A 17,628-nucleotide genomic window follows, 5' to 3' on the forward strand; every position below is an offset into this window, starting at 1 on the left:
TGTGGCTACGGGCAGAGGGCAGGCTGTGTCCATGCTCAGCCCTGACTCTGGCCCTCTGGGACACCTTGGTGGGTCTGAGACGTTGCTGCAGGCCGTGGGGCAGAAGCCAGGAGGAGTGTCCACGCAGCCTCAGCCCGTGGGAATCCAGCCTGCCTCCATTACTGCCGTCACCGGCTCCACCTTCGGAGAACATCTCAGCATCCAGCCTCCTTCCTCTGCCTCCTCTCAGGCCTCTGCCGTTCCCATGCAGGGCAGGCCAAACTGTTTTCACAGCATGGAAAGTTATGTGAGGGAAGCCACACCGGCCGCAGATACAGGCACCAGCACATCCACTCGCATGCACACTCACGGCTGTGGCCCGCGGCAGATGGAGGCCCGCTCTGCCTTGTCTGTCCCTCAGTAGTGTGCGATGACAGCACACCTGTGGGGGCCCTGCAGCTGGGAAGACTGCAGCGAGGCTCAACTCAGAGGCCCCTGCTCAGGAGCATGGCTGAGTCACACCCCAGGGAGAAGGTGCCCCGGACAGGTGTGGCCAGCACGTCTTGCCAAGACCCCACCACCCCACCCACCCGCATCTGTGGCCTTCTGGTAAGCAGGACACAGGCTGCCCAGGCCTCTAGCCATAGAGCCGATGGCCTTGGCCAGTGGGATCGGCACAAGCAGCTAGGTTGGTGGCAGATGGTGGCTGTAACCTTCTCAACCCTGAGATTGCCCTCTGAGGGCAGGAGCAGCCCTTCTGCTGTGGGCCAGCCCTCCGGAGGGACTTCCTCTGGCAGCTTCAGGAATAGGACAACAGGGACCACCCTCAGCATCTTGAGCAGCGGGGGGCACCCTCTGCTTTGGCAACCAAGAAAACATCCCCCAACCCAGTTACCACCTCCTGCCCCCACCTCCTCCAGCCCCCAGGGTTGGACCAGAAAGCCTTGGCTGCCTCTGAACAGCAGGGATTGTCTGGCCAGGGGATGCTTGAGGGACAGAGAACCCAGCCTGGAGGGTGCAAACTGAGGAAGGTCTCAGTCCCTTTAGAAAGTTTGTTTTGCCAAGGTTAAGGACACACCCATGACATCTCGGGAGGTGCCCAAGGTGCATGTGGCACAGCTCGCTTTTATACATTTTAGGGAGACATGATTTATTTACACGGGTTCAATCTGAAAGAGCAGGATAAATTGGGGTGGTGTGGGGAGACCTCTATGTTATAGGCAGATTCAAAATGATCCTGACCGACAGTGGTTGAAAGAGTTATTATCAATAGAAAGGAATGTCTGGGTTGCAGTAAGGGGTTGTGGTTTTCCACGCAGCTGAAGCCTCGGGTTGCCGGCTTCAGAGAGAATAGATTGTTAATGTTTCCTATCAGACTTAAGGCCTGTGTTGATGTTAATGCTAGTCAGCTTTTCCTGAATTTCAAAAGGGAGGAGGCATGACCCACGACCCCTTCCCGCCATGGCCTGAACAAGTTCCCAGGTTAACACTGGAACGCCCTTGGCTGAGAGGAAGGGTCCATTTGGACGGCTGGGGGGGCCTTAGAATTTAATTTTTGGTTTACATTCACCCCCTTCTGGCCAAGATTTGCCAGAGGCAACATCCATGTCCACCAAATCTTTATTGTGTCTCAGCGTTGCTGGGCGAGTGTGGCTGCCCACCCTCAGTCAATCCTGTCCCTCAGTTTGACTCCCTATGACCCAGGGACTTACAGTTAAAAGATTTACAGCCCATTAAATTTTGTAGGCCAGATAGGAATGGACATGGACCAGCATTCATTACCTCTTAAAACAATTTTTTTTTTTAAAGTTGGAGTCTCACTCTGTCGCCCAGGCTGGAGTACAGTGGCATGATCTCGGCTCACTGCAACCTCCGCCTCCCAGGTTCCATTGAGTCTCCTGCCCCAGCCTCCTGAGCAGCTGGAACTACAGGCATGCACCACCATGCCTGGCTAATTTTTATATTTTTGTAGAGACAGGGTTTCACCATGTTGGCCAGGCTGGTCTTGAACTCCTGACCTCAAGTGATCCGCCCTCCTTGGCCTCCCAAAGTGTTGGGATTGCAGGCATGAGCCACCACACCCGATCTATCATGTAACATTTTTATAAATTCCTTTTTTACCAAAGGTATTGCAGCTTACACAGACCGTTCACGACATGTGGACTTTCTAGTTTGTGCTGAACATCCCTTTTTTTAAACAACCAGTCATTTATTTAAGGACAAAAATTTACCATACAAGATTCTTTCTCATATAAAATTATTTTTTTTAACCTTACTTAACAAAAAGACCTCTTTATATCTATAACTTTCCTTGGTCTCTCTTATTTCCTTGTTCTTTTTAACTCATTTTATACATAAACTTTAAATAAGCTTTGAATTAGACAAAATTATTTACCTTATAATAAGAATTTTTGTAGAAAGAACGTTTTCCTATAATTTTTTTTTTTTTAGATGGAGTCTCACTCTGTCGCCCAGGCTGGAGTGCGATGGTGCAATCTCGGCTCACTGCAACCTCCCCCTCCCAGGTCCAAGTGATTCTCCGGCCTCAGCTTCCCAAGTAGCTGGGATTACAGGCATGTGCTACCACACCTGGCTAATTTTTGTATTTTTCAGTAGAGACGGGGTTTTGCCATGTTGGCCAGGCTGGTCTCCAATTCCTGATCTCAGGTGATCTACCTGCCTCGGCCTCCCAAAGTTCTGGGATTACAGGTGTGAGTCCCCATGCCTGGCCTTCAGCTGGGTTTAGAGTTTTACAATGCTTATGCCAAGTTTTGACCCCTTATAAATCAATAAATGCAAACAAAAATGTATGCTGACAGTTTTTAAGACACTCCTTATATTACTTTACCAATACTTTTGGCCGGGCACGGTGGCTCACGCCTGTAATCCCAGCACTTTGGGAGGCCGAGGCAGGTACATCACGAGGTCAGGAGATGGAGACCGTCCTGGCTAACATGGTGAAACCCCGTCTCTACTAAAATATACAAAAAATTAGCCGGGCGTGGTAGCGGGCGCCTGTAGTCCCAGCTACTCGGGAGGCTGAGGCAGGAGAATGGCCTGAACCCAGAAGGCAGAGCTTGCAGTGAGCCCAGATCGCACCACCGCACTCCAGCCTGGGGGACAGAGCGAGACTCCGTCTCAAAAAAAAAAAAATTTTTTACTTAAGTCACATGAAATTTGTTATTATGTACTAAATGTATGCATACTCCTTAAGCCACTTTGATACCTTGTGGCCACAAAACATGTATCAGAATCCACGCACGTACACATAAACACATCTAAACACACATATACACTCATCCAAAAACCCTACAGCTTTTGCTTTACACCTCTAACCATGACATATCAACACAAAGTCACTAGTTAGAAAAACAATAACAGAAAGAAACATCTAGATGCAAACTGTGGATGTCATCTCAGTAGAAAAGTAACAGCTGGTCAGGCACGGTGGCTCACAACTGTAATCCCAGCACTTTGGGAGGCCAAGGTGAGTGGATTGCCTCAGGCCAGGAGTTCAAGACCAGCCTGGCCAACATGGTGAAACCACGTCTCTACTAAATTTACAAAAACTAGCCAGGCGTGGTGGCGCACACCTGTAATCCTGGCTACTTGGAAGGCTGAGGCAGGAGAATCGTTTGAACCCAGGAGGCAGAGTTTGCAGTGCGCCGAGATCGCACCCCTGCACTCTAGCCTGGGCAACACAGTGAGACTCTACCTAAAAAAAACAAAAAGTGTAACAGCAGCTTTAAGGCAGGCAGCAAAGGAAACAGAGAGATAGAGAACTTAGGAACTCTATAGTTCTTTTTTTTTTTTTTTTTTGAAACAGAGTTTTGTTCTTGCAGCCCTGGCTGGGGTGCAATGGCACGATCTCAGCTCACTGCAACCTCCGCCTTCTAGATTCAAGCTATTCTCCTGCCTAAGCCTCCCAAGTAGCTGGGATTACAGGTGCATGCCACCACGCTCGGCTCATTTTTGTATTTTTAGTAGTGATGGGGTTTCACTCTGTCGGTCAGGCTGGTCTCGAACTCCTGACCTCAGGTGATCCGCCCGCCTTGGCCTCCAAAAGTGCTGGGATTACAGGCGTGAGCCACTGCGCCTGGCCAGGAACTCTATGGTTCTGTAGTTGCAGGCTGACCTTTGGGCTCTGAATTTTTCCTGGATGGAATTTGCCCATCAGTTTAAAATGTGCCCCAAAAGACCATAATATGGAACCAGCTGGGGCACTAGGAAACCCAGCATGCCCGCGACATGTTCAGTTTTATACCAACACTTGCAGGTAGAGGCGCCTGAAACCAGCGGGGTGCCTGGAAGGAGGTCGCCCTCTTGTCTTTGCTGAGGCTTACATTATTTATTTCCCACTTTTTTTTTTCTTGAAAGGAACCGAGCTGTGGCCTGGGGTTCCATGGAGCAGGTGGGGCGCGGAGGAACTGAGCTGTGGCCTGGGGTTCCGTGGAGCAGGTTGAGTATGGAGGAACTGGGGTTCCGTGGAGCAGGTGGGGCGCAGAGGAACCGAGCTGTGGAATGGGGTTCCGTGGAGCAGGTTGAGTGTGCCGGTCGTGGACGGGTCGTGGGCGGGACTCCCCAGTGTGTCACCACTGAGGCATCTTCGCCCTCTTACGTGTCTCTGTTTCTCTCTCTAGAAGTCCAACACCTCCGAGAGGACTCAAAACACAGAGTGACCAGCTCCTATGTGCATTTCCTGGACAAACCTTTTTTTTTTTTTTTTTTTTGAGACGGAGTCTCGCTCTGTCGCCCAGGCTGGAGTGCAGTGGCACGATCTCGGCTCACTGCAAGCTCTGCCTCCCGGGTTCACGCCATTCTCCCGCCTCAGCCTCCCAAGTAGCTGGGACTACAGGCTCCCGCCACAATGCCCGGCTAATTTTTTGTGTTTTTAGCAGAGACGAGGTTTCACCGTGTTAGCCAGGATGGTCTCGATCACCTGACCTCGTGATCCACCCGCCTCGGCCTCCCAAAGTGCTGGGATTACAGGCGTGAGCCACTGCACCCAGCAGACAAACCTTTTTAAACTAATTGTGTTGGGGGGTTCCCTGTGGGGCTGCTGCACGTCGTGGGGGATCAGCCCACGAGATACTCCCACTTGGCTCACAGTCACCCAGGGGCGCCTTTCAGCTGGGAGGAGCAAAATGCCTTTCTTTCTGGAGCTGAGAAAACTCAGTCTCTCATTTATCTATGCAAAGAACAATTCAGTTCCTCATGCAAATGCACGCACAAGCCAGTTGGGCTTAATTTTGGGAGAAAAAGCAACAGAGAAGACCCTTAGGAACGCACGTCCGAGCTAGAAACCAAATGGGGTACCCAAAAGGGAGTCGTTCTCCTTGTCTTAAGAAAAAGGTGGCCGGGCGCAGTGGTTCACACCCGTAATCTCAGCACTTTGGGAGGCCGAGGCAGGCGGATCACCAGGTCAAGAGATCAAGACCAGCCTGGCCAATATGGTGAAACCCCATCTCTACTAAAAAAATATACAAAAATTAGGCTGGGCGCAGTGGCTTATGCCTGTAATCCCAGCACTTTGGGAGGCCGAGGTGGGCGGATCACGAGGTCAGGAGATCGAGACCATCCTGGCTAACACGGTGAAACCCCGTCTCTACTAAAAATACAGAAAATTAGCCAGACGTGGTGGCGGGCGCCTGTAGTCCCAGGTACTCAGGAGGCTGAGGCAGGAGAATGGCGTGAACCCGGGGGGCGGAGCCTGCAGTGAGCCGAGATCGCGCCACTGCCCTCCAGCCTGGGCGACAGCGAGACTCCATCTCAATAAATAAAAAAAAAAAAGAGTTGTTATCAGTAGAAGGGAATGTCTGGTTACAGTATGGCGTTGTGCAGATGAAGGTCTTATCGCAGATGAAGCCACCAGGTCACAAGCCTCAGAGAGAATCAACTATAAATGCTTCTCATCAGACTCAAGGCCTGAGGTGATGCTGATGCTGTGCCTGAATTCCAGCAGGGAGGAGGCATGAGGTGCGTCCGACTCCCTTCCCATCACAGCTGAGCTAGTTTTTCAGGTTAACTTTGGAATGCCCATGGCTAAGACCAGGGGTCCATCCAGACAGTTCAGGGCTTATAATTTTATTTTTGGTTTATGAGGGAACCTAGAAGGCAGCCCACACGCACCTTACTCCTCCCAGCAGGGGACACCGGCCAGACCCCAAGCTCCACACTCCCACCCTCAGCACCCACCCAGGCCAGCAGCCGGGGGCACCTTGGTGCCACCTTAGTGCCTGTTCTGCGGAGGCTCCACTGGACAGTGCAGTTGATGCCCGGGGCCGAGGGGGCTCTGCCTGGGAGGCTGTTCACCTGCCTGGGTGCAGGACCCCAGAGGGACCCCAGGCCACCCCTGGCCTGCCCATGCCCACGGGAATCCCGACCTTGGGCTGCCTGTCTATTGCACCAGAACCGTCCCAGGGCTGACTCAGAGTGACCCTGAGTGGGGGACGCTCACCCCAGGGGAGGAAACGGGGCTCTGGGATAGGAGGTCCTGGCTGGGGTCCCACAGATGCCAGGCGCCTGCCATCTCCAGGGCAGTGCTGTCACAGAAGACAACACCGCTCCCTCGTTACCTGTGGCCCGGCCACCTCAGCGGCCCAAGGAGGTGAGCTCACAGCCATGCTCGGTCAATGGGGCCTGGCCGTCTTTCCTGGGAGAGAGCAGAGGCATGGGCCCAAAGGGAGCCAGGGATGCCTGCCCGTCCCTTCTCTCATTCAGGCTCACCTGGTCATGGTGCAGTGACCACAGGACCCCCACATGCCGGGAGCTGGGTTCGCCCCACCCCACCCCCTGCACCGGGCCAGCGAGGGGATGGCCCAGAAGAGGGGGAGGACCATGTGGATTCACCAGTGCTGGACATGTGCTCTGTGGCTACCCCCTCTGCCTACTCTCTGGCCCGATACAGGGGTGTGGGACAGGTGACTGAACCTCAGCCCTTAGAGGCCTTGCCCGGGAGGAGGGGAGGGGGGTGGAGCCGGGAGCTGCGTGATCCAGCCGAGATGTGCTCTGACTGAGGCCCTGCAGGGCATACGGGTCATGGAAGGGGTGCTCTGCCCCCGGCCAGGGCTCCCCCTCCTACAGGAAGCCGGGGGCCTTGCTCCTGCAAGCTGCCCTTTGGCTGGACCGGGCCCCACTGGCCGGACCTGGGCTCTTTCTCTCTCTGCACCCTGCACCAAGGCTGGGCTGTCTGCCAGGCCACTCCCGGGGACACAGGGAGGCACAGGCTGCTTCCAGCCACAATCTCTGGCAAGCACCTAGGACCTTGTCCCCGCCTGCCAAGTAGCCGCCCGGGCCATGTGTGCCCTGTCTCCTCGGCAGGTGCGGCCCACGCACAAAGCTGCCCAGATGTGGTGGGGGAGAAGCCCCAGGCCTGTGCTGTGTCCGGGGGCCCTGCCGCTGACCTGTGGGGTCTCTGTGACATCAGCAAGCCCCCTGCCGCGAGCTTGGAGAGGCACCCCAGCCCCATCTGGCACTCAAGGAAATCAGCTCAGAGAGGTTGAGTAACTCGGGAAGGCCACACAGCCAGTGACGAAGCTGTGATTCACACAGGCCTGGGTGACTCCAGCATGGCTTTCCTCTCCAGGACGTCACCGGTGGCAGCTGCTTCCTTCCAGAGCCGGCAGGCAGGTGACCTCACCCTCCTCAGAGCCATGGCTCTGCTGCTGGACCCTGTGGGGCTGGGCTCCCCCAGCCAAGCCCAGGGACCCAGCACCACTTGGGGCAGGATGTCAGGAACACAGAGCCTACCCTTCCAACCTGGGCCCGGCTCGGGTCTGGTCATTTGGGACAGTGAGGCCACCTGGATATCTAGGGTCCCACAGTAGACAGGGATGGGGTGGTCCTGGGGGACAGGGACACCTGCCTTCCACACAACCGCACTGGGGCTGAAGACGCCAGCCTGGGAGACTGTGATTTGGACCCTGACAGTAGCATGTGGTCTTAGCATGTGTGAGGTCTTAGCGTGTGTGGTCTTAGTGTGTGTGAGGTCGTAGCGTGTGTGAGGTATTAGCATACGTGTGTGGTCTTAGCATGTGTGGGGTCTTAGTGTGTTGTGAATCACTTTCTTTTTTTTTTTTTTGAGACGGAGTCTTGCTCTGTCGCCCAGGCTGGAGTGCAGTGGCACGATCTCGGCTCACTGCAAGCTCCGCCTCCTGGGTTCACACCATTCTCCTGCCTCAGCCTCCCCAGTAGCTGGGACTACAGGTGCCTGCCACCGCGCCCACCTAATTTTTTGTATTTTTAGTAGAGACGGGGTTTCACCGTGTTAGGCAGGATGGTCTCAAACTCCTGACCTTGTGATCCGCCCGCCTCGGCCTCCCAAAGTGCTGAGATTACAGGCGTGAGCCACCGCGCCTGGTGGTCGTGAGTCACTTCCATGTGTGCCAGCATCTTGGTGTGTGTGGTGTGGGTGTGGACTGAAAGTCTTAGTGTGTGGCGCGTCATCTTAGTGTGTGGTGTGGTTGGTGGCAGCTATAGTGTCCAGCAGGGAGGGCGAGCCCCTGTGCCTACTCGGGGGAGCAGGTGCCTTCTCCACACCCAGACCCTTGGTGTTCCCACATTAGCACCTGTCCCAATGGCTGGGCGGCTGGTCCCGAGAGACACTGGATCTGGGAGCTGAGGTCCCCACCCAGTGTCTGTCAGCCAGGGAAGGGAGGGAGTGCTGGGAGCCCACCACGGCCCCGGATCTGAGTTCCAGGAGCTGGCAGAGAAAGATGGGGCTTCTGGGCCGGGCACGGTGGCTCACGCCTGTAATCCTAGCACTTCGGGAGGCTAAGGCGGGCGGATCACCTGAGGTTGGGAGTTTGAGACCAGCCTGAGCAGCATGGAGAAACCCCATCTCTACTAAAAATACAAAATTAGCCTGGGATGGTGGCAGGTGCCCGTAATCCCAGCTACTCAGGAGGCTGAAGCAGGAGAATTGCTTCAACTCGGGAGGTGGAGCTTGCAGTGAGCCTAGATCGTGCCATTGCACTCCAACCTGGGCAACAAGAGTGAGACTCCATCTCAAGAAAAGAAAGAAAGAAAGATGGGGCTTCCAAGGAGGTCTCAGCCCAACACTGTCCTCCCCCTCCCTCCACAGGCTGCAGCCCCTTACTCTCAGCCAGGGTCAGGACCCCAGGCCTCCCCTGCAGGGCTCAGGATGGGAAAGATTTCACCTGCAGAGGGATGGGCATCTCTGTCCCCCAGGAATTCCCCTTTTGGGTCCGGGGCAGGTGTGGCTGCCCTGGCTGGGTCCTCCCTCGCCTGCAGCACAGTCCCACGCCCAGCCAGCCTGTTTTAAATAGGAGGCCAGAGGCTCCATCCTGCTTCAGAGCTGCCAGCTGCCCCCGCAATGGCTGAGCACCGAAGCATGGACGGGAGAATGGAAGCAGCCACACGGGGGGGCTCTCACCTCCAGGTACCGTGGGGGGGGGTGAGGGGGGTGGGGGGGTTGGGTGAGGGGGGTGGGGTCGGGGGGGGGGTTGAGTGAGGGGGGTGGGGGGGTTGGGGGGGTTGGGTGAGGGGGTTGGGGGGGTTGGATGAGGGGGTTGGGGTTGGGGGGCCCCACCTCAAGGTACCAAGGTGGTGGTTGGGGTTGGGGGGACCCGCCTCGAGGTACCGTGGGGGGATTGGGGTGGGGGGTAGGGGTGGGGGGGTGGGGCTGGCGGGGGGGCTCCCACCTTGAGGTACCAGGGGCTGGGTTGGGGGGTCTCTTTCCGATGCCTGGCCCCGTGTGCCATCAGGAACAGGATTGCATGGTGGCAATGGGGCAGGTCATCCCTGAGTGCCTCCTTATCCTGAAGAAGGCTGTGTCCCATTGCGGGTACATAGTGTGTGCTGGACCACTGGGGGTGCCGAGCGTGTGCTGGACCACGGGGGGTGCACAGCGTGTGCTGGACCACGGGGGGTGCCGAGCGTGTGCTGGACCACGGGGGGTGCCGAGCGTGTGCTGGACCACTGGGGGTGCACAGTGTGTGCTGGACCATTGGGGGTGCATAGCGTGTGCTGGACAGACCCCGGGAGAACACTGCAGATACTGCGTGTCCAGGCGCTGTGCATCCCGTGGGTTGGCCACATGGCACGACGCAGATCCAGACAGGGTGGAGAGGCCAGTGTAGTCCTGTCTCACACACACGCGCACATGCAGGGTGGGGTCCGGCTCCTCTCTGACCAGGGGTCCAGGCCCTGCCTCACTCAGAAGCCCTGGGGACCCTGACTGGCCCTCCAGACCCCAATCCACAGCTCCCGCTTCTGCTGGCCTGGCAGCCCCCACTAGGGGGATGGTGCTGCCCTGTCTATGCGCCAGGTGGAGACGAGGAGTGGGGACTGGAGTCACAAAGACCCTTCCGAGCCTCTTAGCCTCCCTGCTCAGATGGCCTTGGGGACGCAGGGTGAGCAGAGCCATGTGCCCAGTGGTGGAGCTCCTGGCCAGGCTGCCTGGAGGCCTGTGCGGCCCACACACCCGAGGGGAGCCGTCCCCACCTGGTGTCCCCAGGCCCCGAAGCTTCTGGCTCGCTCTAGCACCTCCCCAGAGTACCTCGGAGCAGGCTTGGGCAGCGGGACAGCCTCGCAGACCAGAGCTAGGCCTGTCCCAGGACTCCAGAGCCTCCAGCGCGGGACTGGGCAGGCAGTGGCTGGGCTTCCTGGGGCCCTTGTGTCTCCGCAGCTGGCCCCGGTACTCAGCTCAATGGGGCCACCCCGAGCCACAGTGCCGAGCGGTGTCCAGGCCAGACGCTTCCTGGACTTGGCTGGATGGGCCTGGCACAGTCGGTCCTCAGCAGGCCACACTGGGGGCTGGGGTGGGTGCAGCCATCAGGGGCAAGAAGGGCAAGTCTTCCCCTGAGCCCCAGACCCCACGCGGGGCGCATGGACACGCTACCGTACTTGCCTTTGGGTAGATCGCCTGGGCCTGTGGCTCCCCAGAGGCCCTGCCACCTGAAGGGATGGCAGCACAGACCCACTCAGCACAACGCTGCCTGCAAACAGGGCCAGGTAGGGCCTGAGCACCCTGTTCTCTGAGTCCTGCTGCCCCAGCAGCCCAAACTCAAACTCAGCTCCAAGGCTACACTGAGACGTGTCAGGGACGGGTGTATCCGGGGAGAAGGGCGCAGTGTCAGAGCACCCTGGGAGGGGCTTGTCCGAGCGACCGAGCAGGTAGGGCGGGGCACTGGTGGCTGACAGACATGACAGGCCCAGGGTAGGGAGGCCTGAGTGGGTGCAGGCCGGGCCCTGCTGAGGCCACTCTGCACACAGGCTGCAGCCCAGACGCCCCCCAGGCCGGGGCCACCATCAGCACCACCACCACCACCCAAGGAGGGGCACCAGGAGGGGCTGGTGGAGCTGCCCGCCTCGTTCCGGGAGCTGCTCACCTTCTTCTGCACCAATGCCACCATCCACGGCGCCATCCGCCTGGTCTGCTCCCGCGGGAACCGCCTCAAGACGACGTCCTGGGGGCTGCTGTCCCTGGGAGCCCTGGTCGCGCTCTGCTGGCAGCTGGGGCTCCTCTTTGAGCGTCACTGGCACCGCCCGGTCCTCATGGCCGTCTCTGTGCACTCGGAGCGCAAGCTGCTCCCGCTGGTCACCCTGTGTGACGGGAACCCACGTCGGTGAGGGCCAGGGCTGTCGGCGGGAGGGGTGGCCGCCCCAGCTCCTTGCCCCTGTGACCGTCTCTAACCGAAGCCCCACTGGCCCCTGTAGCCGAGGAGGGGGCTCTGTGTGGTCAATGCCACCCTCCTGGTCACTGTGACCTCCCAAACCTCGGTGCCCAGCCCGGACCTCTCGGACTGCCAAGGAGGGGGCTCAGTGTGGTCACTGCCCCCTGGAGGGACACCAGGGCCCTCGGGAGCCTGGGAGGAGAGGTGGGGGTGGGCGAGGCTTTCCAGAAGGAGGGAAGGTGGGAGGGGCTGCGAGCGGGCTGGGCTCCGGGGCCGACCTCACCGGCAGCCACGGCCTCCAACTCCAGCTCTGGGTCCAGCTCACCCCACTGGGCGTCCCGAGTAGGGGAGGCACTGCTGTCCCGACAGCACACACTGGGATGCTGGGGCCAGTGTGAGGCCCCGGGCCGGCAACTCTGACTCCAGGGCCCTGCGTCCCAGGCCGAGTCCGGTCCTCCGCCATCTGGAGCTGCTGGACGAGTTTGCCAGGGAGAACATTGACTCCCTGTACAACGTCAACCTCAGCAAAGGCAGAGCCGCCCTCTCCGCCACTGTCCCCCGCCACGAGCCCCCCTTCCACCTGGACCGGGAGATCCGTCTGCAGAGGCTGAGCCACTCGGGCAGCCGGGTCAGAGTGGGGTTCAGACTGGTGAGTGTCCCAGCCGGGGCCTGCAGCCATCAGGGCCTTGAGCTGGGAGCACGGCCCTGCGCTGCTGGTACCTCGAGTGGGGAGCGGGGCCTGGGCTGTAGCCACAGAGCTGACCCTCCCTCCCCTCTCCCAGTGCAACAGCACGGGCGGCGACTGCTTTTACCGAGGCTACACGTCAGGCGTGGCGGCTGTCCAGGACTGGTACCACTTCCACTATGTGGATATCCTGGCCCTGCTGCCCGCGGCATGGGAGGACAGCCACGGGAGCCAGGACGGCCACTTCGTCCTCTCCTGCAGTTACGATGGCCTGGACTGCCAGGCCCGGTGAGTGTGGCGGGCGGGGGCCACTCCTTCCGTCCCACCCCACAGAGCGTGGCCGCACCCCTGGGGTCCCTCTGGCTGTATGCTGGGAGCCACCCAAGGCTGGCCGGAGGAACTTTCCGCAGACACAGGGCAGGCCATGGCCCCTCAGGCCAGCGTGACGGGCGCGGGCAGCCGACATTCAAGGTCTGAGCTTGGCTTCTCATTCCAGACAGTTCCGGACCTTCCACCACCCCACCTACGGCAGCTGCTACACGGTCGATGGCGTCTGGACAGCTCAGCGCCCCGGCATCACCCACGGTGGGTGCCAGCCCCTGGCCGGTGCGGGGGCAGGGGTGCAGGTCAGGTGGCCTCACACCAGCCCTTGGCCTCCCAGGAGTCGGCCTGGTCCTCAGGGTTGAGCAGCAGCCTCACCTCCCTCTGCTGTCCACGCTGGCCGGCATCAGGGTCATGGTTCACGGCCGTAACCACACGCCCTTCCTGGGGCACCACAGCTTCAGCGTCCGGCCAGGGACGGAGGCCACCATCAGCATCCGAGAGGTGAGCTGGCCTCTGCAGCCAACCTCCGGCCCAGGCCTCCTGCCCAACCTGGGCTTTGGGGGGTGAGGGCAGGGCCCATGGAACTGAAGCGTCCCCTCCCAGGACGAGGTGCACCGGCTCGGGAGCCCCTACGGCCACTGCACCGCCGGCGGGGAAGGCGTGGAGGTGGAGCTGCTACACAACACCTCCTACACCAGGCAGGTGAGGCTGGGCTGGCAGGGGGTGCGGGGGCAGGTGAGGCTGGGCTGGCCAGGGGGTGTGGGCGGGTGGAACGGGGGAGGGGTCTGGGAGAGTACTAGAGGGCCTGGGAACGGGGCAGTCCCCGTGGAGGCCCGCACTCCATCCCCCGTGTCCCCGCTCCATTCCCTGTGTCTCTGCTCCGTCCCGTGTCTCTGCTCCGTCCCGTGTCTCTGCTCCGTCCCGTGTCTCTGCTCCGTCCCCCGAGTCTCTGCTCCGTCCCGTGTCTGCTCCGTCCCGTGTCCCTGCTCCGTCCCGTGTCTCTGCCCCGTCCCCCGTGTCTCTGCTCCGTCCCGTGTCCCTGCTCCGTCCCGTGTCCCTGCTCCGTCCCGTGTCCCTGCTCCGTCCCGTGTCCCTGCTCCGTCCCGTGTCTCTGCTCCGTCCCCCGTGTCTCTGCTCCGTCCCGTGTCTCTGCTCCGTCCCGTGTCTCTGCCCCGTCCCGTGTCCCTGCTCCGTCCCGTGTCTCTGCTCCGTCCCCCGTGTCTCTGCTCCGTCCCCCGTGTCTCTGCTCCGTCCCGTGTCTCTGCTCCGTCCCCCGTGTCTCTGCTCCGTCCCCCGTGTCTCTGCCCCGTCCCGTGTCTCTGCTCCGTCCCGTGTCTCTGCTCCGTCCCGTGTCCCTGCTCCGTCCCCCGAGTCTCTGCTCCGTCCCGTGTCTCTGCTCCGTCCCGTGTCTCTGCTCCGTCCCGTGTCCCTGCTCCGTCCCGTGTCTCTGCTCCGTCCCCCGTGTCCCTGTTCCGTCCCCCGAGTCTCTGCTCCGTCCCGTGTCTCTGCTCCGTCCCGTGTCTCTGCTCCGTCCCGTGTCTCTGCTCCGTCCCGTGTCCCTGCTCCGTCCCGTGTCTCTGCTCCGTCCCCCGTGTCCCTGTTCCGTCCCCCGAGTCTCTGCTCCGTCCCGTGTCTCTGCTCCGTCCCGTGTCTCTGCTCCGTCCCGTGTCTCTGCTCCGTCCCGTGTCCCTGCTCCGTCCCCCGAGTCTCTGCTCCGTCCCGTGTCTCTGCTCCGTCCCCCGAGTCTCTGCTCCGTCCCCCGTGTCCCTGCTCCGTCCCGTGTCCCTGCTCCGTCCCGTGTCTCTGCCCCGTCCCGTGTCCCTGCTCCGTCCCCCGTGTCTCTGCTCCGTCCCCCGTGTCTCTGCTCCGTCCCGTGTCTCTGCTCCGTCCCCCGTGTCTCTGCTCCGTCCCGTGTCTCTGCTCCGTCCCCCGTGTCCCTGCTCCGTCCCGTGTCCCTGCCCCGTCCCGTGTCTCTGCCCCGTCCCGTGTCCCTGCTCCGTCCCCCGTGTCTCTGCTCCGTCCCCCGTGTCTCTGCTCCGTCCCGTGTCTCTGCTCCGTCCCCCGTGTCTCTGCTCCGTCCCGTGTCTCTGCTCCGTCCCCCGTGTCTCTGCTCCGTCCCGTGTCTCTGCCCCGTCCCCCGTGTCTCTGCTCCGTCCCGTGTCTCTGCTCCGTCCCCCGTGTCTGCTCCGTCCCGTGTCCCTGCTCCGTCCCGTGTCCCTGCTCCGTCCCGTGTCCCTGCTCCGTCCCGTGTCTCTGCTCCGTCCCGTGTCTCTGCTCCGTCCCGTGTCTCTGCTCCGTCCCGTGTCTCTGCTCCGTCCCGTGTCCCTGCTCCGTCCCCCGAGTCTCTGCTCCGTCCCGTGTCTCTGCTCCGTCCCGTGTCCCTGCTCCGTCCCCCGTGTCTCTGCTCCGTCCCCCGTGTCTCTGCTCCGTCCCGTGTCTCTGCTCCGTCCCCCGTGTCCCTGCTCCGTCCCGTGTCTCTGCTCCGTCCCCCGTGTCTCTGCCCCGTCCCGTGTCCGTCCCCCGAGTCTCTGCTCCGTCCCGTGTCTCTGCTCCGTCCCGTGTCTCTGCTCCGTCCCGTGTCTCTGCCCCGTCCCCCGTGTCTCTGCTCCGTCCCGTGTCTCTGCTCCGTCCCCCGTGTCTGCTCCGTCCCGTGTCCCTGCTCCGTCCCGTGTCCCTGCTCCGTCCCGTGTCTCTGCTCCGTCCCGTGTCCCTGCTCCGTCCCGTGTCTCTGCTCCGTCCCGTGTCTCTGCTCCGTCCCGTGTCTCTGCTCCGTCCCGTGTCTCTGCTCCGTCCCCCGTGTCTCTGCTCCGTCCCGTGTCTCTGCTCCGTCCCGTGTCCCTGCTCCGTCCCGTGTCCCTGCTCCGTCCCGTGTCTCTGCCCCGTCCCCCATGTCTCCGCTCCATCCCATGTCCCTGCTCATCCCCCCTGTCCCCAGGCCTGCCTGGTGTCCTGCTTCCAGCAGCTGATGGTGGAGACCTGCTCCTGTGGCTACTACCTCCACCCTCTGCCGGCGGGGGCTGAGTACTGCAGCTCTGCCCGGCACCCTGCCTGGGGTGAGTCCTGCTCGCTGCCTCCCACTCTGTCAGCCATTAGCCGGGGGGTCACAGCGAGCCTCACACATGCCTCTGACCCCTCCCCAAGGACACTGCTTCTACCGCCTCTACCAGGACCTGGAGACCCACCGGCTCCCCTGTACCTCCCGCTGCCCCAGGCCCTGCAGGTGAGACGGGGGTGTTGGGGTCGCGGCCAGGGATCATTGCCCCAGGTAGCGTGGCAGGTGACACCCGGCTGTCTCTTCCAGGGAGTCTGCATTCAAGCTCTCCACTGGGACCTCCAGGTGGCCTTCCGCCAAGTCAGCTGTGAGTCCCCAAAGTGGTGGGGTGGGGGTGTGGACAGCCAGGCAGACCCCACAGGTCCCACAGAGCCCACCCAAGACAAGGGCAGGGCCGGAACTGACCCAGCCTATGCCCCGTGGTCTCTGCCCCCACATCCGCCCGTGGTACCCAGGATGGCCGGGGGCATGGGGGAGCCGTGGCCACAGCAAACCTTCCGTCTGCAGGGATGGACTCTGGCCACGCTAGGTGAACAGGGGCTGCCGCATCAGAGCCACAGACAGAGGTGGGTGCACCCTCCCCCTCCAGAGAGGCATCACAGCCCCTCTCCCCTCAAAGCCCCCCTCCCCATCATGAAGGTCTGGGCCAGCGCCCTCATGCCTCTATCCTGCCCCAGGAGCAGCCTGGCCAAAATCAACATCGTCTACCAGGAGCTCAACTACCGCTCAGTGGAGGAGGCGCCCGTGTACTCGGTGAGCCTTGGCCCCCTGCCTGGGCTAGAGCGGGGGCAGCGACAGTGGCTGGCCCTGCACAGAAGGGGCACGGGGGCCTGGGCCCGCCCCTCACACCCGCACCCCACCCGCAGGTGCCGCAGCTGCTCTCGGCCATGGGCAGCCTCTGCAGCCTGTGGTTTGGGGCCTCCGTCCTCTCCCTCCTGGAGCTCCTGGAGCTGCTGCTCGATGCTTCTGCCCTCACCCTGGTGCTAGGCGGCCGCCGGCTCCGCAGGGCGTGGTTCTCCTGGCCCAGAGCCAGCCCTGCCTCAGGGGCGTCCAGCATCAAGCCAGAGGCCAGTCAGATGCCCCCGCCTGCAGGCGGCACGTCAGATGACCCGGAGCCCAGCGGGCCTCATCTCCCACGGGTGATGCTTCCAGGGGTTCTGGCGGGAGTCTCAGCCGAAGAGAGCTGGGCTGGGCCCCAGCCCCTTGAGACTCTGGACACCTGAACCAGACCTGCCAGGGCTGTGCGATCTCTTGGCCTGGTCCTTGCAGCTGTGGCAGCAGCAGGCTCCCCAGCGGCCCAGGGTGGGCCAGACCAGCAGCCCAGGAAGCAGCACACGCGGCCGTGGGGAGGCAGGCACCGGGCATGTCGGCGCCTCTGGTCAAACCACCTACACTGCCTGGGGTGGGTCTCAAGGAGGCCCGGGGCGGAGGGGGGTTCCCGCGTGCACACGAGTGCGGCTGGACGTGCCGACACGCGGTGATGTACCCATGCTCCGTGTGTCTGTGTCTGCATGTCCACACGTCTGATGCACCTGTGTACGTGTGTCAAGCCTAGCCACCTCAGCTGCAGGGAGGCAGAAGGCAAGGCAGGCCCCACGGACACACTTGGGCTGCTCTGAAATAAAGCTGTTGACTCCACCTGGCGGCCAGTGTGTGCCTGTGTGCCCCTCCAGCCGCCCCGCGCCCGGTGAGCTGAAACCCTGACTGCACCTGGCGGGACGAGCCCCAGCCTAGCCTCGCCGGTTCGCGTCCACCCCTCTTCCCACCAGGAAACTCAGTCTAGGACAGAGAAGGGTAGAAGGGCGAGACAATGGGGACCAGGGGCATCAGGACCCAGATTTTGTCAAACGAGCCCCAGGTCCCCATCAGGCCCCTTGCGGCCTGTTGGAGTCTGACTTGAGTGAGTGCTACCCGGCTCAGGAATGCCCCTCGGGGAGGGCAAGGGACACAGA

General features: G+C 61.1%; 1 protein-coding gene and 1 long non-coding RNA gene across 3 annotated transcripts in view, besides 15 other annotated features; both read left to right on the forward strand.

The window, feature by feature from the left end:
• Positions 1-627: part of an enhancer, noted in NCBI's record as "H3K4me1 hESC enhancer chr1:1210080-1210718 (GRCh37/hg19 assembly coordinates)", that runs on past the window's edge. NCBI's record gives its function as "activates a minimal SCP1, AML or CMV promoter by ChIP-STARR-seq in primed H9 embryonic stem cells {active_cell/tissue: H9 hESC(primed)}" and the evidence as "EXISTENCE:reporter gene assay evidence [ECO:0000049][PMID:30033119]".
• The window catches only part of LINC01786 (long intergenic non-protein coding RNA 1786), a 6,606-nt gene extending 710 nt beyond the window's left edge, over positions 1-5,896 (forward strand). Inside the window, exons 2-3 of the long non-coding RNA NR_185846.1 lie at positions 92-588; positions 4,357-5,896. This is a non-coding gene — a long non-coding RNA (long intergenic non-protein coding RNA 1786). The remainder of the gene's footprint in view (positions 1-91; positions 589-4,356) is intronic.
• Positions 5,725-17,314, forward strand: SCNN1D (sodium channel epithelial 1 subunit delta). Of its 2 annotated transcripts, NM_001130413.4 has the most exons (18): positions 5,725-5,955; positions 6,515-6,586; positions 6,700-6,899; positions 7,531-7,604; positions 9,267-9,379; positions 10,860-10,953; positions 11,215-11,567; positions 12,057-12,264; positions 12,398-12,588; positions 12,797-12,885; positions 12,962-13,125; positions 13,228-13,326; positions 15,560-15,677; positions 15,766-15,844; positions 15,926-15,983; positions 16,184-16,242; positions 16,354-16,429; positions 16,543-17,314. In NM_001130413.4, the coding sequence occupies exons 1-18, from the start codon at positions 5,951-5,953 to the stop codon at positions 16,897-16,899; spliced, it is 2,409 nt and encodes an 802-aa protein (NP_001123885.2). In that variant the 5' UTR covers positions 5,725-5,950; the 3' UTR covers positions 16,900-17,314. The 2 variants fall into 2 exon arrangements, 1 of the variants encoding a protein (NP_001123885.2); NR_037668.3 differs by lacking the exon at positions 10,860-10,953.
• Positions 8,449-8,649: a silencer, noted in NCBI's record as "peak7 fragment used in MPRA reporter construct". NCBI's record gives its function as "represses an SCP1 promoter by STARR-seq MPRAs in K562 erythroleukemia cells {active_cell/tissue: K562}" and the evidence as "EXISTENCE:reporter gene assay evidence [ECO:0000049][PMID:32103011]".
• Positions 12,669-14,205: a meiotic recombination region, noted in NCBI's record as "meiotic double-strand break mapped by DNA meiotic recombinase 1 chromatin immunoprecipitation followed by single-stranded DNA enrichment and sequencing in the germ cells of some male individuals with the PRDM9 A/A, PRDM9 A/B and PRDM9 A/C genotypes". NCBI's record gives the evidence for it as "EXISTENCE:chromatin immunoprecipitation-seq evidence [ECO:0000229][PMID:25395542]".
• Positions 12,669-16,889: a biological region, named in NCBI's record as "CEB15 minisatellite repeat instability region".
• Positions 13,278-13,825: an enhancer, noted in NCBI's record as "H3K27ac-H3K4me1 hESC enhancer chr1:1223369-1223916 (GRCh37/hg19 assembly coordinates)". NCBI's record gives its function as "activates a minimal SCP1, AML or CMV promoter by ChIP-STARR-seq in primed H9 embryonic stem cells {active_cell/tissue: H9 hESC(primed)}" and the evidence as "EXISTENCE:reporter gene assay evidence [ECO:0000049][PMID:30033119]".
• Positions 13,297-15,586: a repeat instability region, noted in NCBI's record as "repeat instability region; Alu fragment from PMID:21087171, which displays instability of the CEB15 repeat region". NCBI's record gives the evidence for it as "EXISTENCE:restriction fragment detection evidence [ECO:0001124][PMID:21087171, PMID:25485533]".
• Positions 13,469-13,481: a nucleotide motif, noted in NCBI's record as "nucleotide motif; similarity to the predicted 13-mer PRDM9 A binding motif (LD hotspot motif), CCNCCNTNNCCNC".
• Positions 13,489-15,542: a tandem repeat, noted in NCBI's record as "CEB15 (D1S172) VNTR, 18 nucleotide repeat".
• Positions 13,826-14,372: an enhancer, noted in NCBI's record as "H3K27ac-H3K4me1 hESC enhancer chr1:1223917-1224463 (GRCh37/hg19 assembly coordinates)". NCBI's record gives its function as "activates a minimal SCP1, AML or CMV promoter by ChIP-STARR-seq in primed H9 embryonic stem cells {active_cell/tissue: H9 hESC(primed)}" and the evidence as "EXISTENCE:reporter gene assay evidence [ECO:0000049][PMID:30033119]".
• Positions 14,596-16,889: a meiotic recombination region, noted in NCBI's record as "meiotic double-strand break mapped by DNA meiotic recombinase 1 chromatin immunoprecipitation followed by single-stranded DNA enrichment and sequencing in the germ cells of some male individuals with the PRDM9 A/A, PRDM9 A/B and PRDM9 A/C genotypes". NCBI's record gives the evidence for it as "EXISTENCE:chromatin immunoprecipitation-seq evidence [ECO:0000229][PMID:25395542]".
• Positions 14,645-15,217: an enhancer, noted in NCBI's record as "H3K27ac-H3K4me1 hESC enhancer chr1:1224736-1225308 (GRCh37/hg19 assembly coordinates)". NCBI's record gives its function as "activates a minimal SCP1, AML or CMV promoter by ChIP-STARR-seq in primed H9 embryonic stem cells {active_cell/tissue: H9 hESC(primed)}" and the evidence as "EXISTENCE:reporter gene assay evidence [ECO:0000049][PMID:30033119]".
• Positions 15,545-15,557: a nucleotide motif, noted in NCBI's record as "nucleotide motif; similarity to the predicted 13-mer PRDM9 A binding motif (LD hotspot motif), CCNCCNTNNCCNC".
• Positions 16,139-16,151: a nucleotide motif, noted in NCBI's record as "nucleotide motif; similarity to the predicted 13-mer PRDM9 A binding motif (LD hotspot motif), CCNCCNTNNCCNC".
• Positions 16,201-16,216: a nucleotide motif, noted in NCBI's record as "nucleotide motif; similarity to the predicted 16-mer PRDM9 C binding motif, CCNCNNTNNNCNTNNC".
• Positions 17,308-17,377: a silencer, noted in NCBI's record as "silent region_51". NCBI's record gives its function as "represses an Ori minimal core promoter by ATAC-STARR-seq in GM12878 lymphoblastoid cells {active_cell/tissue: GM12878}" and the evidence as "EXISTENCE:reporter gene assay evidence [ECO:0000049][PMID:35858748]".

This window comes from Homo sapiens, chromosome 1 (assembly GCF_000001405.40).
Source record: "Homo sapiens chromosome 1, GRCh38.p14 Primary Assembly".
In the NCBI taxonomy this organism is placed as follows: domain Eukaryota; kingdom Metazoa; phylum Chordata; class Mammalia; order Primates; family Hominidae; genus Homo; species Homo sapiens.

Excerpts from the sequence above, each read along its gene's own strand:
- SCNN1D (NM_001130413.4), top strand. Across the intron at positions 12,265-12,397 it reads TCAGAGTGGGGTTCAGACTG|TGCAACAGCACGGGCGGCGA; the intron begins GTGAGTGTCCCA and ends CCCCTCTCCCAG. Across the intron at positions 15,678-15,765 it reads TGCCCGGCACCCTGCCTGGG|GACACTGCTTCTACCGCCTC; the intron begins GTGAGTCCTGCT and ends CCCCTCCCCAAG.